The sequence below is a fragment of the Homo sapiens genome, chromosome 15 (genome assembly GCF_000001405.40).
Source record: "Homo sapiens chromosome 15, GRCh38.p14 Primary Assembly".
Taxonomy (NCBI): Eukaryota; Metazoa; Chordata; class Mammalia; order Primates; family Hominidae; genus Homo; species Homo sapiens.
Window position 1 is genome coordinate 55,202,840 of NC_000015.10, and position 14,713 is coordinate 55,217,552.

At 38.5% G+C, this 14,713-nt stretch overlaps 1 protein-coding gene across 18 annotated transcripts in view; it reads right to left on the minus strand.

The window, feature by feature from the left end:
* The window catches only part of RAB27A (RAB27A, member RAS oncogene family), a 116,158-nt gene continuing 101,571 nt past the window's right edge, over positions 127-14,713 (minus strand). For all 18 annotated transcript variants that reach the window (NM_001438970.1, NM_001438977.1, NM_183235.3 and 15 more), the window contains one exon: positions 127-2,866. In NM_001438970.1, coding sequence (NP_001425899.1) covers positions 2,668-2,866 — 199 coding nt within the window. In that variant the 3' untranslated portion in view covers positions 127-2,667. The remainder of the gene's footprint in view (positions 2,867-14,713) is intronic.

Here is a 14,713-nt window from a genome sequence, read left to right on the forward strand (position 1 = left end):
GTTGTCTTGGCTGGCCCCTCAGTGAGCACCTAATGGAACGTGTATCCCTGAATTTCATTTCCTTTGGCATTACAACCTCTGGTATGAAACTTTGTGATAATAAATACAGTTACGTTCACACACAAATTTGACAGACTAGACCACTTTTTTATTACAGCTTAATTGGCACATGGTTCACTGAAGATACACTTCACTTTTACATAGGCTTGTAAATAGAAAAATACATTGATGCACAAAAAATATAGTACTTCAATACCAAACTTAAATGATTTCCAAAAAGAATACAGGTTATTTCAATAATTAAAGGTGGCTTTTGTGTGTGCACTATATCATGTATACACTTAATTGTATGTTTAAGGCCAGTGGAATCTATAGCTAATTACTCATTTGGTTCTTGAAAACTGAAACATGCAAACATTCTTATTTTTATGTTTAAAGACATTTAATGTGTTATTCTAACACAAATACACCATATAGAATATGCCCTGATATGTAGCTGTAAAATTATGTTGTACTGCACTGAAGTCTTATGGCAACTATATAAGGCACTGCTGTGTGATTATGACCCTGCTCTTTTTTTTTTTTTTTTTTTTTGAGACAGAGTCTCCTCTGTCGCCCAGGCTGGAGTGCAGTGGCGCAATCTCGGCTCACTGCAAGCTCCGCCTCCCAGGTTCACGCCATTCTCCTGCCTCAGCCTCCTGAGTAGCTGGGACTACAGGTGCCCACCACCACGCCCAGCCCATTTTTTTTTTTTTTTTTTTTTTAGTAGAGATGGGGTTTCACTGTGTTAGCCAGGATGGTCTCGATCTCCTGACCTCGTGATCCGCCCTCCTCGGCCTCCCAAAGTGCTGGGATTACAGGTGTGAGCCACCGCGCCTGGCCAACCCTGCTCTTGAAATGTCTAAATCTTTTCCTCACTAGCATATACAATTCAAATGCACAGGCCTCCATGACTTCTTTGGAATTTAAAAGAAGCCTTCATTTCAAGGATAGAAATATGTAAAATTTTACCAACCATGGATAAGTTTGTTATGGGAGTAGTGGAAGGACAGTGGAAAAAAAAATAGGTTTTTTCATGATACTTTTATTTTTCCTTTTTTAAAAATAAATTTAGGGGGTACAAGTACAGTTTAGATACATGAATATATTGTGTAGTCGTAAAGTCTGGGCTTCTAGTGTAACCATCACGCAAATATACTTGTATTTTTCTAATTACAGTTCTACCAAACATTTGCCACCACAAAATACAAGTATTTTTATTCTTTATTTAAATTATGGTGAGTGATATTTCTTCCTATATAGCCATTAAGATCTCTGGAAGTTTTGATCTACTTTATTCAAACCACTTTAATAAATAAGACTTTTCACCTAAATGAAATACCTTTGAATTTTATAAACAACTTCCATGAAACATATATTAAAACCACCTTTAATTTGGTATGAAGACACTTTGGCAATGCAGCGGAATAAATGATCTTGGCAAGACCCAGCAAGTACAGTAAATGCTCATGAGCTCTATGAAAAATATAGGCTACAGAATACTTCATTTTTCTTTTATTGAACTACAGTACAAATGTGACTGCTTCAATATGAACATCTATCTTCCACCAAATAGCAAACAGGCATCTTATGTAATTAAAAACTAATTATTTCAATTCCACCAATGGAAAAGCAAAACAAGTTGCAAATATCAACAATACAGAGCCTGCTGGTAAAGATAGAGATGAGTAAGTTATAAGCTAATAAAGCTGCAGCCTGAGGATGCCAGATCAACATTATAAATATGAAGAAAAAGAAACTAAATATTTACTCATCGCAAATAACTCGGCATAAGCACCAGCTATGTTCAGGTGCGGCCAGCACATAGGCCAAGTATAAATGTACAATCACAGTGAACTAAAGCCATAAAATCTAGTTCCCTGACCCTTCAATCAACCATTCAGAGCAATGGGAATATAGCGGGGAGACAGAAGTCCCACTTTGGTTGCTCATATTACATTAAGCCAGCCTGCCCCACCCCAATCCCCTTCCCACCAATAAAAAAGTCACCGTGAGTGTATAATTGGTCAATCCAGTTTATCCAAGGTCTATAGATATAGCCATGATTTGTCCTATATTCATGTTAAATAGAATGCTTACATAAAATTAATACTCAAAGACATTGAGCTGATGTGCATGTATATTCTTATTTAACATTTAAGTGGCTTTAATGGTATTTTAGAATGTCACCTATGGCATGAGTCTTCAAATCTGGATTGAAGACTGTGGCGGTTTTATAACTGCATGTAAGATCTTAAATGTAAGACTCTGGGCCTACCTACATTAAGGCAGGTGACAGTACCCTCATTCATTCTACATAATAAATACACTCTTCTGTGACTGCAAAATTCTGAATCCTTGAATGATTTACTATAATAGGCTAAGGTTGTATAAGGCACTTTTGGCTCTGAAATATTTCTCCTAACTCTCAGGCTGAATCTTAAAGAAATATTTACAAAGCTGCAACAAATTAATTTTAGAACCGGATGCTTTATTCGTAGGTCTAATGGGGATGGTGAGAAGCAATTTGTACACAATGCCCATTAATCTCTCACTGTGCCATGTATCAATCATAGAGAAGATCCCAGGCATGGGCCACCTGAACTACTATGTCGCTTACTTGACTTCTCAACAGCCACATGCCCCTTTCTCCTTTTCTTCACTTAACTGATCCGTAGAGGCATGACCATTTGATCGCACCACTCCTTCAGGAATCCAGGACTTGTCCACACACCGTTCCATTCGCTTCATTATCAGGTCCAGAAGCATCTCAATTGCTTGGCTTATGTTTGTCCCATTGGCAGCACTAGTTTCAAAGTAGGGGATTCTGGAAGACAGAGACAACTGAGGTAACAACATGTGGAGGGAAAGGAGAGTGACCTTTGCTCTTGATAATTCAAATTAGAGAATCGATAGAATACAAATATACAAGATGACAAACATTTTACCACCCCAGAGTACATTAAAAAGTTAAAAAGACAATAAAATACTCACACTGCATTTCCAGTAGATATGCAAAACTGGAAATTTTAGACTCTTCAAAATATCAATTTTTGGCTGGGCGCAGTGGCTCACACCTCCCAGCACTCTGGGAGGCTCAGGTGGGCAGATCACCTGAGGTCAGGAGTTTAAGACCAGCCTGGCCAACATGCGGAAACCCCATCTCTACAAAAAATACAAAAATTAGCCAGGAATGGTGGCATACACCTGTAATCCCAGCTACTGGGGAGGCTGAGGCTCAAGAATCACTTGAACCTGGGAGGCAGAGGTTGCAGTGAGCCAATATTGTGCCACCGCACTCCAGCCTGGGCAATAGAGTTAGACTGTCTCAAAAAAAATCAATTTTCATTTTTTAAAGGACCATATATATATTTTGGCAATACATACTGATTTACTGTAAAAAATTTATAAAAAGATATAAGTAGGGGATTCTGGAAGACAGAGACAGAATTAAATCTTTTTTCGTTTAAGTTTTTGGAGGGTTTTTTGTTTTGAGACAGAGTCTCTATCACCCAGGCTGGAGTGCAGTGGCACGATCTCAGTTCCCAGGCGACTTCCCAGGCATCGATCCTCCTACCTCAGCTTTCCAAGTAGCTGGGACCACAGGCGCACACCACCACACCTGGCTAATTATTGTATTTTTTTGTAGAGACAGGGTTTTACCATGTTGCCCAGGCTGGTTTCGAACTCCTGAGCTCAAGCTACCCACCCGCCTTGGCCTCCAAAGTGCTGGGACTACAGGTGTGAGCTGCTGCACCCAGCCTAGTTTTAAGAATTTAAAACTTGATTATTGGTATGAAAGCCGTTTAAATTCCTCTAAGTGAAAAGTAAAACTTGAAAACTTTTAGAAGAACATACAACAGTCTTATCTTTTTGACATTGGAATAAGAAAGGATTTCTTAATATAGCTATAAAAGCTCAAACCACAGAGAATAAGTTTGATAATCTTGACAATGTTAAAGTTTAAAACTTTGGTGCCACAACATATATCATAAGCAAAGTTAAAAGATGAGCGACAGGCCGAAATACATGGCATTTCATATAACTTGCAAACGGGTTAGCATCCGAAAAAATAATTCCTCAAATGAATTAAAGTAATAAACAAGATAATACAAAACAGACTAAGGATATGCACGGGAAATTCTAAGAAATTACATTTGTGAAAAAATGTTCAACCTCACCCAAAATAAGGGAAATGCAAGTTAAAATAATGGTATATTAACTCACACCCATCAGATTGGCAAAAATATAGAAATCTCCCAATATTAAGTATTGCCAAGGAGAAGAAAAGAGGAACTTGCACTTACTGCTTATGTAAGTATAAACTGTTAATAACTACTTTGGAAAATAAGACGGTAATATCTGATAAAATTGAAACATGCATGCACTATGACCCAGCAACAGCACTCCTGGGTATACATCTAAAGCAGAGCCAAGGCATGTTGATGGGCAGGAAGTGAGTTACAGGGATACATGAGACATCAGCAATCCCTCAGTCCTTAGGGCAACTGAGAAGGTCTTAGGGCAGCCAGAGTCCCTGAACCAGTCTCCTCCAAACTTGAGCAGCCTTATCTATTTATCCCAGTGAGCTGTACAAATATTATCATTTTCTGCAGGTGCCATCCTATGAAAAATATTCAGAAACCCTGTGCTGGAGCAGCACTATCCAATAGAACTTCCCACAGTGACAGGAACTTTCCATATGTATATCATCCAGTACAATAACTACTAGCCACATGTAGCTATTGAGCACTTAAAATGTGGCTAATGCAACCAAAAATGCGACTTTTTTGTTTTTGTTTTTGTTTTGTTTTGTTTTTTAGAGATGGAGTCTCACTTTGTTGCCCAGGCTGGAGTGTAATGGTGTGATATTGGCTCATTGCAACCTCTGCCTCCCAAGTTCAAGCGATTCTCGTCCCTCAGCCTCCCAAGTAGCTGGGACTACAGGAACAGGCCACCACTCCCAGCTAATTTTATCATGTTGGCCAGGCTGGTCTCAAACTCCTGACCTCAAGTGATCTGTCTGCCTCCACTCCCAAAGTGCTGGGATAACAGGCATGAGCCACCACACCTGGCCAAAAAACCTGAACTTTTAATTTTAACTTAAATAGCTACATGTGACCAGTGGCTATCACACTGGATAGTGCAGCCCTAGAGAAGCTCTCACATATGTGCACGTGGCATCGTCTAATGGAATAGATATTGCAGAACTATTTGTAATAGGGAAAAAATTTACCTAAACGTCCATCAATAAGCGCATGAATAGTGATATTTTTATACAATGAATTATACAATGCTTAAACTGTATCAACATGGCAAAAATTAAACATTGAATTAAAAAACCAACTTGTATGATACAAGATCATTTGTGTGAAGACAACAATTACACATCATTATAAAAACATCTATGTAGTAAAAGTACAACTTCTTGGACTAGAAATATATAATTTTGACTGCTTTTAGCTAAAAGTAACCGAAAATTGTGGCTCAAATTGGCATGAATCACAAGTAGGAATTTATTGTAATGCATAATGAACACAGAACTAGAGAGTTTCCAGTGTTAATTCGGTTGCCAAACGGTAGAAACAAAGAGCCTAGATTCATATCATCCTTCTGTTCTGCCATCCTCCACATGTCAGCTTTCTCCACAATCTGACTCCCTTCATGACCCCAGAAGTTAAAACATTCCAGGCATCACATCTCAACACACCGAAGTTCCAAGGAAGAAAGGACTCTTCCTCTGTGTGCCTCCCTCAGGAGAGAGGAAATCTTTCCCACAAGTCCCTGGAAGACTTTCCCTCGTGTCTCATTGGTCAAAACTGTATCACATGCCAATGCCTAAACCAAACTCTGGCAAGAGGAATGGTACACCACCATCACTGGCTTAAACCAATCAGTCTTCCTGGGCTGGTGGCTGGCACCTGCCTCTCTTAAGTAGCATGTCCTCTAGAAGCAGAGTAGATAGCTAAAGAAAATTGAGATTCTATAAATAAAGGCATGAATATTGTCTAGGCAACCAACAACATCTGCTATAGGAAGTAGATATAGTGTGGTTCCCTCTGAGGAGGTAGGAAGGAGAATGGAATCAGCAAGGAATTTTAAAAGGGACTTCAATTGTATCTGTAAGAAAATTTTATTTTTTATTTATGCATAATATAGTTTCAGAGTAAATATGATCATTTAATACACTGATATAATGTGTAAAGATAAGTATACTTGGGATTGCCATAATCTTAAATATTTGTCTTTTCTTTATACTAGAACGATTGGAATTTTTCCCTCCTAGCTATTTCAAGATATACAATAGATTGTTGTAAACTATAGTCACCCTACTGATCCTTCTAACACTACATCTTATTTCTTCTATCAAACCATATGTTTGTACCTATTAATCAATCTCTCTTCATCCTCCACTCCCTCCTACCCTTCCTGGCCTCTGGTATTCTCCAATCTACTCTCTATCTTCATGAGATCCACCTTTGTAGCTCCCACATATGAGTAAGAACATGCAACATTTGTCTTTCTGTGTTTGGCTATTTCACATAACATAATGATCTCCAGTTCCATCCAAGCTGCTGCAAATGATGGGATTTCATTCTTTTTATGGTGGAATAACATTCCATTGTATATATAAACCATATTTTATTTATCCATTCATCCATTGATGGGTAGATTGATTGCATATCTTAGCTCTTGTGGATAGTGCTGCAATAAACATGGGAGTACAGAGAGCAAATACCCTTTTGATATATCTGATATACATCTCTATATATCTTTTGGGATATATATATATCTCTCTCCTAAGAAAACTTACATAAAACTTTTAAGAAAACTTCCACTAATATATATACACATATATATACACATATATATGTGTATGTGTGTACATATACATATATACACACATATGTGTGTATGTATACATATATACACACATGTGTGTATATATACATATATGTGTGTACACATATATGTGTGTATATACATATATACATATATGTGTGTGTATACATATATACACATATGTGTGTGTATGTATATACACACATATATGTATGTACATGTACACACATACGCATATATGTGCGTATGTGTGTACATGTACATATATACGCATATATGTGTGTACATGTACATATATACGCATATATATGTGTGTGTACATGTACATATATACACATATGTGTGTGTACATATACATATATACACATATATGTGTGTATATATACACACATACACATATGTATATATAGTGTATATATGTATGTGTATGTATACATACACATACATATATACGTACACACATATGTATGTGTGTATACATACACACATGTATGTGTATGTATATATACACACATATATATTAGTGGAGTTGCTGGATCATATGGTAGTTCTATTTTTAGTTTTTTTTTTTAAGAACATCCATACTTTTCTCCACAGTGCTTATGCTAATTTACTTTCCCACCAACAATGTACGGGTTCACCTTTCTCTGCATCCTCACCAGCATCCACTATTGCCTGTATTTAGGTGTGGTTTTTTTTTTTTTGAGGGGGGGGGAATTACTGCCTATATTTTGGATAAAAGTCATGTTAACTGGATGAGAAGTTATCTCATTGCAGTTTTGATTTGCCTTTCTCTGAGTAGTGATATTGAGCATTTTTTCATACACCTGTTTGCCATTTGCAGATCTTTTGAGAAATGTCTATTCAGATCTTTTGCCTATTTTTAAAACAGATTATTTGTTTTTGCTATTGAGTTATTTGAGCCCCTTATATATTCTCGTTATTAATCCCTGATCAGATGGGTAGTTTGCAAATATTTTATCCCATTCTATGGGTTATCTCTTCATTTTGTTGTTTCCTTTGCTGTGTAGAAGCTTTTTAGCTTGATATAAATCCCATATTTCTATTCTTGTGTTGGTTGCCTGTGTTTTGTGGTCTTACACAAAAAGTTTTTGTCCAGACGAATGACCTGGAGTGTTTCCCAAATGTTTTCTTCTAGTAGTTTCATAGTTTCAAGTCCGATATTTAAGTTTTAATTCATTTTGAGTTGATTTTTATATATGGTGAGAGATAGGGGTCTAGTTACATTGTTCTGCATGTGGCTATGTAGTTTTCCCAGCATCATTTATTGAAGAGAATGTCCTTTCCCCTCTGTTCTTGGTACTTTTGTCCAAGATGAGTTGTCTGTAAATGCATGGATTTATATCTGGGTTCTCTGTTCTGTTCCATTGGCCTATGTGTCTGTTTTATGCCAGTACCATGCTGATTTGGTTCCTATAGCTTTGTAGTAAACTTTGAAGTCAGTGTGAGGTCTCCAGCTTTGGGCTTTTTTCCTCAGGATTTTGTCAGTTATTGAGGGTCTTTTGTGGTTCCATATAAATTTTAGGATTTTTTTCGATATTTGTGAAGAATATTATTGGTATTTTGATAGGGATTGCATTGAGTCAGTAAATTGCTTTGGGAAGTGTTATCATTTTAACAATATTAATTATTCCAGTCCAAAAGTATGGAATATTTTTCCATTTTTGGTGTCCTCTTCAATTTCTCTCACCTGTGTTTTATAGTTTTCCTTGTATAGATGCTTCACTTCTTTGGTTAAATTGATTTCTAGGTATTTTATATTCTTTGCAGCTATTGTAAATGAGATTGCTTTCTTGATTTCTTTTTCAGATTGTTCCCTGTTGGTGTATATAAATGCTAATGATTTTTGTATGTTGATTTTGTATCCTAAAACTTTACTGAATTCGTTGATCAGTTCTAAATGTTTTTTGGTGTAATCTTTAGGTTAGAAAAAAACTCTTAAAGCAGGCCTGTGGCAAGAAGGCCCAGAAAAGTTAAGCGGTCTGATCAATGTTATTCAGCTAATAAATGACAGAGAAGCAAGTAGGCTCTTCCTGTTTTCTTATACAGGTCCTCATATACTATACTATGTCTTGTAAAACAAAATAGGAAATGTCTTCTCAGTGTTTAGTTCAAAGAATACTGATTTCCAAAACTACTAACTAGAAGAAAAAAACTGGGTAAATTCAAATTTTGCAACATGCTATTTTATTAAATGAGTTTCCTGGACTATAACCTTTTTTTTTTTTTTTTTTTTAGCTTTTCCCCCTTTTTTGCTTCAGGGATTTCTTGTATATGCTCTTCAGAGTGTTCTGGTTTGCCTGAATTGAAACTAGCTGATATATATGAGTCATTTAAGATTGAAGGAAAAAATAACTAAAATTATTTCTTGAGCTACCCAATACTATGTGTCTTACATACATGATTCACTAAATATAACCACTACTGTATTCAGGTACACAATATTCCCATTTCACAAATGATTAAACTAAGGCTGAGAAAGATGAAAGGAACTTGCCCAATTCACAATGCTAGAAAGTAGCAGAGTTAGGATTTGGGTCCACAGCTAATTCCAATGCAGCCAGTTTAACCATAGGTTCTACTGGTTCCAAACTAGTATGAGGATTTTCAAAATAAATAAATCTTATGCACTGTACAAGAAGAAAACGCTGGCTTTGGGGAGTATTCAGAGGTCACTGGCCATGTTTATCAAAGGCTTTGCCACTTACCAACTCCAGACTATATTTCTGGACCATACACTTGAAGACATTCTGAATTTTACAGCATCAAGTTGCTCAAGAGCAACAAATCTTTTTTTTTTTTTTTTTGAGACAGTCTCACTCTGTTGCCCAGCCTGGAGTGCAGTGGCGCCATCCTGGCTCACTGCAAGCTCCGCCTCCCGGGCTCACGCCATTCTCCTGCCTCAGCCTCCCAAGTAGCTGGGATTACAGGCGGCTGCCACCACGCCCGTTTAATTTTTTGTATTTTTAGTACAGACGGTGTTTCACCATGTTAGACAGGATGGTCTCGATCTCCTGACCTCGTGATCCACCCGCCTCGGCCTCCCAAAGTGCTGGGATTACAGGCATGAGCCACCGCACCCAGCCCATCAAATCTTAAGTATACATTTGTTTTGTTATCCAAAGACCTGTGGTACAGGTGTAATTTTTAAATAACTCACAAAGCATTGCTTCAAAACTGTATAGCTGTTTTTCACATAATCTTGAGAAATCAGACTTCTTGTCGAAGTCATCCTTTATACATTTGAGATGGTCTTTGCAACAGGATTAATCAAGTGACAAATTCACCTTGCTTTTCAATAAAGCCATGAAAGTCGTGATAACATTGTATTTCCTTCAACTGTTGACTTCATTGCCACCACTTGTGAGGAATCTAACCAAAATGTTCTTAGATATCAAAACAACAAAGCAAAGTTATTTTATTATCTCAGGGAGTCCTGCAATTGAATTCAGTAAAGTATTTCTTAAATTTATTAGAACTTTAAAGTCCTCCACGATTACTGTTCTTGAAGAATGTTTTTGTTTTTCTGTATTCTCATAGCATGTTAACAACTACATCAGTTACTCTGATTACAATTTACCTTACTCTTTTATTCTTTCTTGGCTAGTAACAGCTTCTATATGAGAGCTTGGTAAAGTTTTCTTTTTTAACTTGTTAATGCTTTTACAGATCTTTTCAGAACTCTTTCACTTCTGATGTTACTAAGAAGCATATTTAGATCAAGGGTTCCCAATCCCCAGGCCACAGACTGGTACCAATCCATGGCCTGTTAGCAACCAGGCCACACAACAGGAGGTAAGCAGGGGGCCAGCGAGCAAGCCAAGTTTCATCTGTATTTACAGCTGCTCCCCATCACTCACATTACCACCTGAGCTCTGTCTCCTGTCAGATTAGCAGCATCATTAGATTCTCATAGGAGCACAAGCCATATTGTGAACTGCCCATGTGAGGGATCTAGGTTGCACTCTCCTATGAGAATCTAATGCCTGATGATCTGTCACTGTCTCCTATCACCCCCAGATGGGACTGTCCAGTTGCAGGAAAACAAGCTCAGGGCTCCCACTGATTCTACATTATGGTGAGCCGTATAATTATTTCATTATATATGGCAATGTAATGATAATAGAAATAAAGTGCACAATAAATGTAATATGTTTGAATCATTCCAAAACCACCCACACCTCCACTGGTCCATGGAAAGATTGTCTTCCATGAAACCAGTTCCCAGTGCCAAAAAGGTTGGGGACCACTGATTTAGAGGATATATGTGTAGGGACATAAGGCTATTTTTCCAGTATGATTCCTCAGTAATGCTGTCTTATTATTTGATAACTTCCTCCAGGAGGTGATAAGGCCTTGCAACTGAATCTCTGCAATTCTCTGTTTTAGCACAGCTATTAAAAACTGGTTGAGGCCGGGCGCGATGGCTGATGCCTGTAATCCCAGCACTTTGGGAGGCCAAGGCGGGCGGATCACGAAGTCGGGAGATCGAGACCATCCTGGCTAACATGGTGAAACCCCGTCTCTACTAAAAATACAAAAAATTAGCCAGGCATGGTGGTGGACGCCTGTAGTCCCAGCTACTCGGGAGGCTGAGGCAGGAGGATGGCATGAACCCAGGAGGTGGAGCTTGCTGTGAGCCAAGATCACGCCACTGCACTCCAGCCTGGGCGACAGAGCGAGACTCCGTCTCAAAACAACAACAACAACAACAAAAACTGGTTGAGAAACTATCACCTCATTTGAGTGTTTATCCACCCACCTGTGAGTTCTGCAAGGCAGAGTTGCTCCCCTAACTCCACCATGCTCATATTCTATCATCCTTTTATTTCCTGACTCTAAAATATCTTAATCAGAAAAAAGTTTGTTGGGAAAAATGACATGGTCTTCGCAGTTTTTAAACCTCCTGCTTGCCTCTTAGTTACTGTCAATCTTTTTTCCTCCATCTATCACCTTGCACACAAAATGAAGATAATGCATCTCTGTCCCTCACTAGTCACATGTAATATTTGATTAACAACTTGAAGAGGCAATCCTTTGTGACTGGAGTCAATATGTGTTTATTTATCAAGAATCTATAATATTATTGAGCTAAAATCCTGGGGATAGCTTGTGATGCCATTGTTACAAGAATAGAATTTTAGAATGAGATTTTTCAAAATGTAAATTGTTACATTTTCTTCATTATGATCTTTCTCAATTATATCCATTAAAAATCAGTTAATGTCCACAGAACATTTCTTATACTTAAGGAGAGGGTTTGACCATTCTATCACCTTTCAGAAATACATTACATGAAAAAGCAGTTGAAAAACTCAGATCTCCCGCAACAGAATAAATTGGAAATTTCTTAAAAAGTAGTTGAACAGTAAGCTTTTTTAAAATGCTAAATCACAATAATGTATACTTCATTTTAAAAATTCTCTCAAAATCAGTTACAAATATCTTTCCAACTCCAGAGTCTCCAGCCTCATTTGATTCCTTAATTTTCCTCCACAGCTCCTGAAAATTACTTCACCATCATTTTTGAGGAATAAATGAGAAAACATAGTGAAAGTACTTTGAAAACTATAAAACCTGTGCATGGAAGTTATCAACAACATGGATCAATGGTTAAGAGTCATAACCGGCCGGGCGCGGTGGCTCACGCCTGTCATCCCAGCACTTTGGGAGGCCGAGGAGGGCGGATCACGAGGTCAGGAGATCGAGACCATCCTGGCTAACACGGTGAAACCCCGTCTCTACTAAAAATACAAAAAATTAGCCGGGCGTGGTAGCGGGCGCCTGTAGTCCCAGCTACTCGGGAGGCTGAGGCAGGAGAATGGCGTGAACCCGGGAAGCGGAGCTTGCAGTGAGCCGAGATCGCGCCACTGCACTCCAGCCTGGGCGACAGAGCGAGACTCCGTCTCAAAAAAAAAAAAAAGAGTCATAACCTCAGGTCGGGCGCGGTAGCTCACGCCTGTAATCCCAGCACTTTGGGAGGCTGAGACGGGTGGATCACCTGAGGTCAGGAGTTCAAGACCAGAAACCCCGTCTCTACTAAAAATACAAAAATTAGCCAGGCGTGGTGGCAGGCGCCTATAATCCCAGCTACTCAGGAGGCTGAGGCAGGAGAATCACTTTAACCTGGGAGGCGGAGGTTGCAGTGAGCCGAGATCGTGCTACGGCACTCAAGGCTGGGCAACAGAGGGAGACGCCGTCTCAAAAAAAAAAAAAAAAAAAAAAAGAAGTCATAACCTCTGGAGTCATGCTGCCTGGCTTCAAATCCTAGTAGTACATCTTACCAACTGTGATTCTGACAAAAGTTTAACCTCTGTGCCTCCGCTGCTTCATCTGTAATACCAAATAACATCAGTATCTTCTTGTAATGATTAAATGAGTTAATATTTAAAGCACTTAGATCAGAACCTGACACATGTACAAACAATAAATGTTTCTTATTTCCAACACAGAATTGGGTTAGGTGATAAAAGCTTATTTGTAATGATGTTATTTAAAACTCAGAACACAGCCAGGCACCGTGGCTCACACCTGTAATCCCAGCACTTTGAGAGGCCAAGGCAGGGTCGGAGTTGAGGTCAGGAGTTCAAGATCAGCCTGGCCAACATGGTGAAACCCTGTCTCTACTAAAAACACAAAAATTAGCTGGGCATGGTGGCACGTGCCTGTAGTCCCAGCTACTAGGGAGGCTGAGACGGGAGATCTCTTGAACACAGGAGGCAGAGGTTGCAGTGAGCCGAGGCGGTGCTACTGCACTCCAGCCTGAGCAACAGAGGGAGACTCTGTCTCAGAAAAGAAAAACAAAAACTCAGAATACATCATCCCAAAAAAGCAATGTCACTAGCAACATGGTAAACATTAAATTCTCAATCTGTGTGTTGTGTGAAAAAAAAAGAATAAAAAATAAAAATAAATTTGCAAACTAACCCATGAACATTGGTTTAATCCACAATGTAGCTGATCTATAAAATCTACAATACTGCTCTAATTCTGGTACCTGGGACCACGCCTCCCTACACCAGAGATGCTGCACTCAGACCTGTCCTGGCCAAAGTGCTTTGTGCCTCCAAAGCATTTGCCTCCCTTACTCCTCATTAAACTCCTCACTTTCCAAGCAATCTTCATGAAATGCTGGAAGACAATGGATCTTACTCTACTGATTAATACTGACGTATAAATGATGCTTCTAGCAGAGCTGTGAGCTACTGTCCAATGTTTATTAACTTAAGCAAATATTTAATTGGTATAATTTCAAGGTATAAGAGCTCTAACTTTTCAAGTTACTCATGCTAAAAGACACACAATATTAACAAGACATACTTTAGATTTGTAACTCCAAATTCAAGTAACAAACTTCTTTCAATTAAAAGTATACTTTCTTGCCATTTGTAAACCTCTAGGTCATGGGACCAGGAGTCAGGTTAACAACTTTAAAAATCCTTAGACTAATCACTCAGAGTTTTCTGAGCAATTTGAGGCAGTAAGATTTTCATTTCTACAGGAATAAGTGAATAGAGTTCACTCCACTCTCAGCTCTGTGCCAGTAATTGGGCTGTAATCTCATCTAGCAAACTAGATGAGAGCCATAGAAAAGACCCTGAATTAAGACTTTCTTTCCATAAGAAAATGATGTTCCAGGCTGGAGGCGGTGGCTCACCTGTAATCCCAGCACTTTGGGAGGCCGAGACTTGTGCATCACTTGAGGCCAAAAGTTCAGGATCAACCTGGCCAACATGGTGAAACCTCGTCTTTACTAAAAAAAATATATAAAAATTAGCTGGGCACAGTGGTGCACACCTGTAGCCCCAGC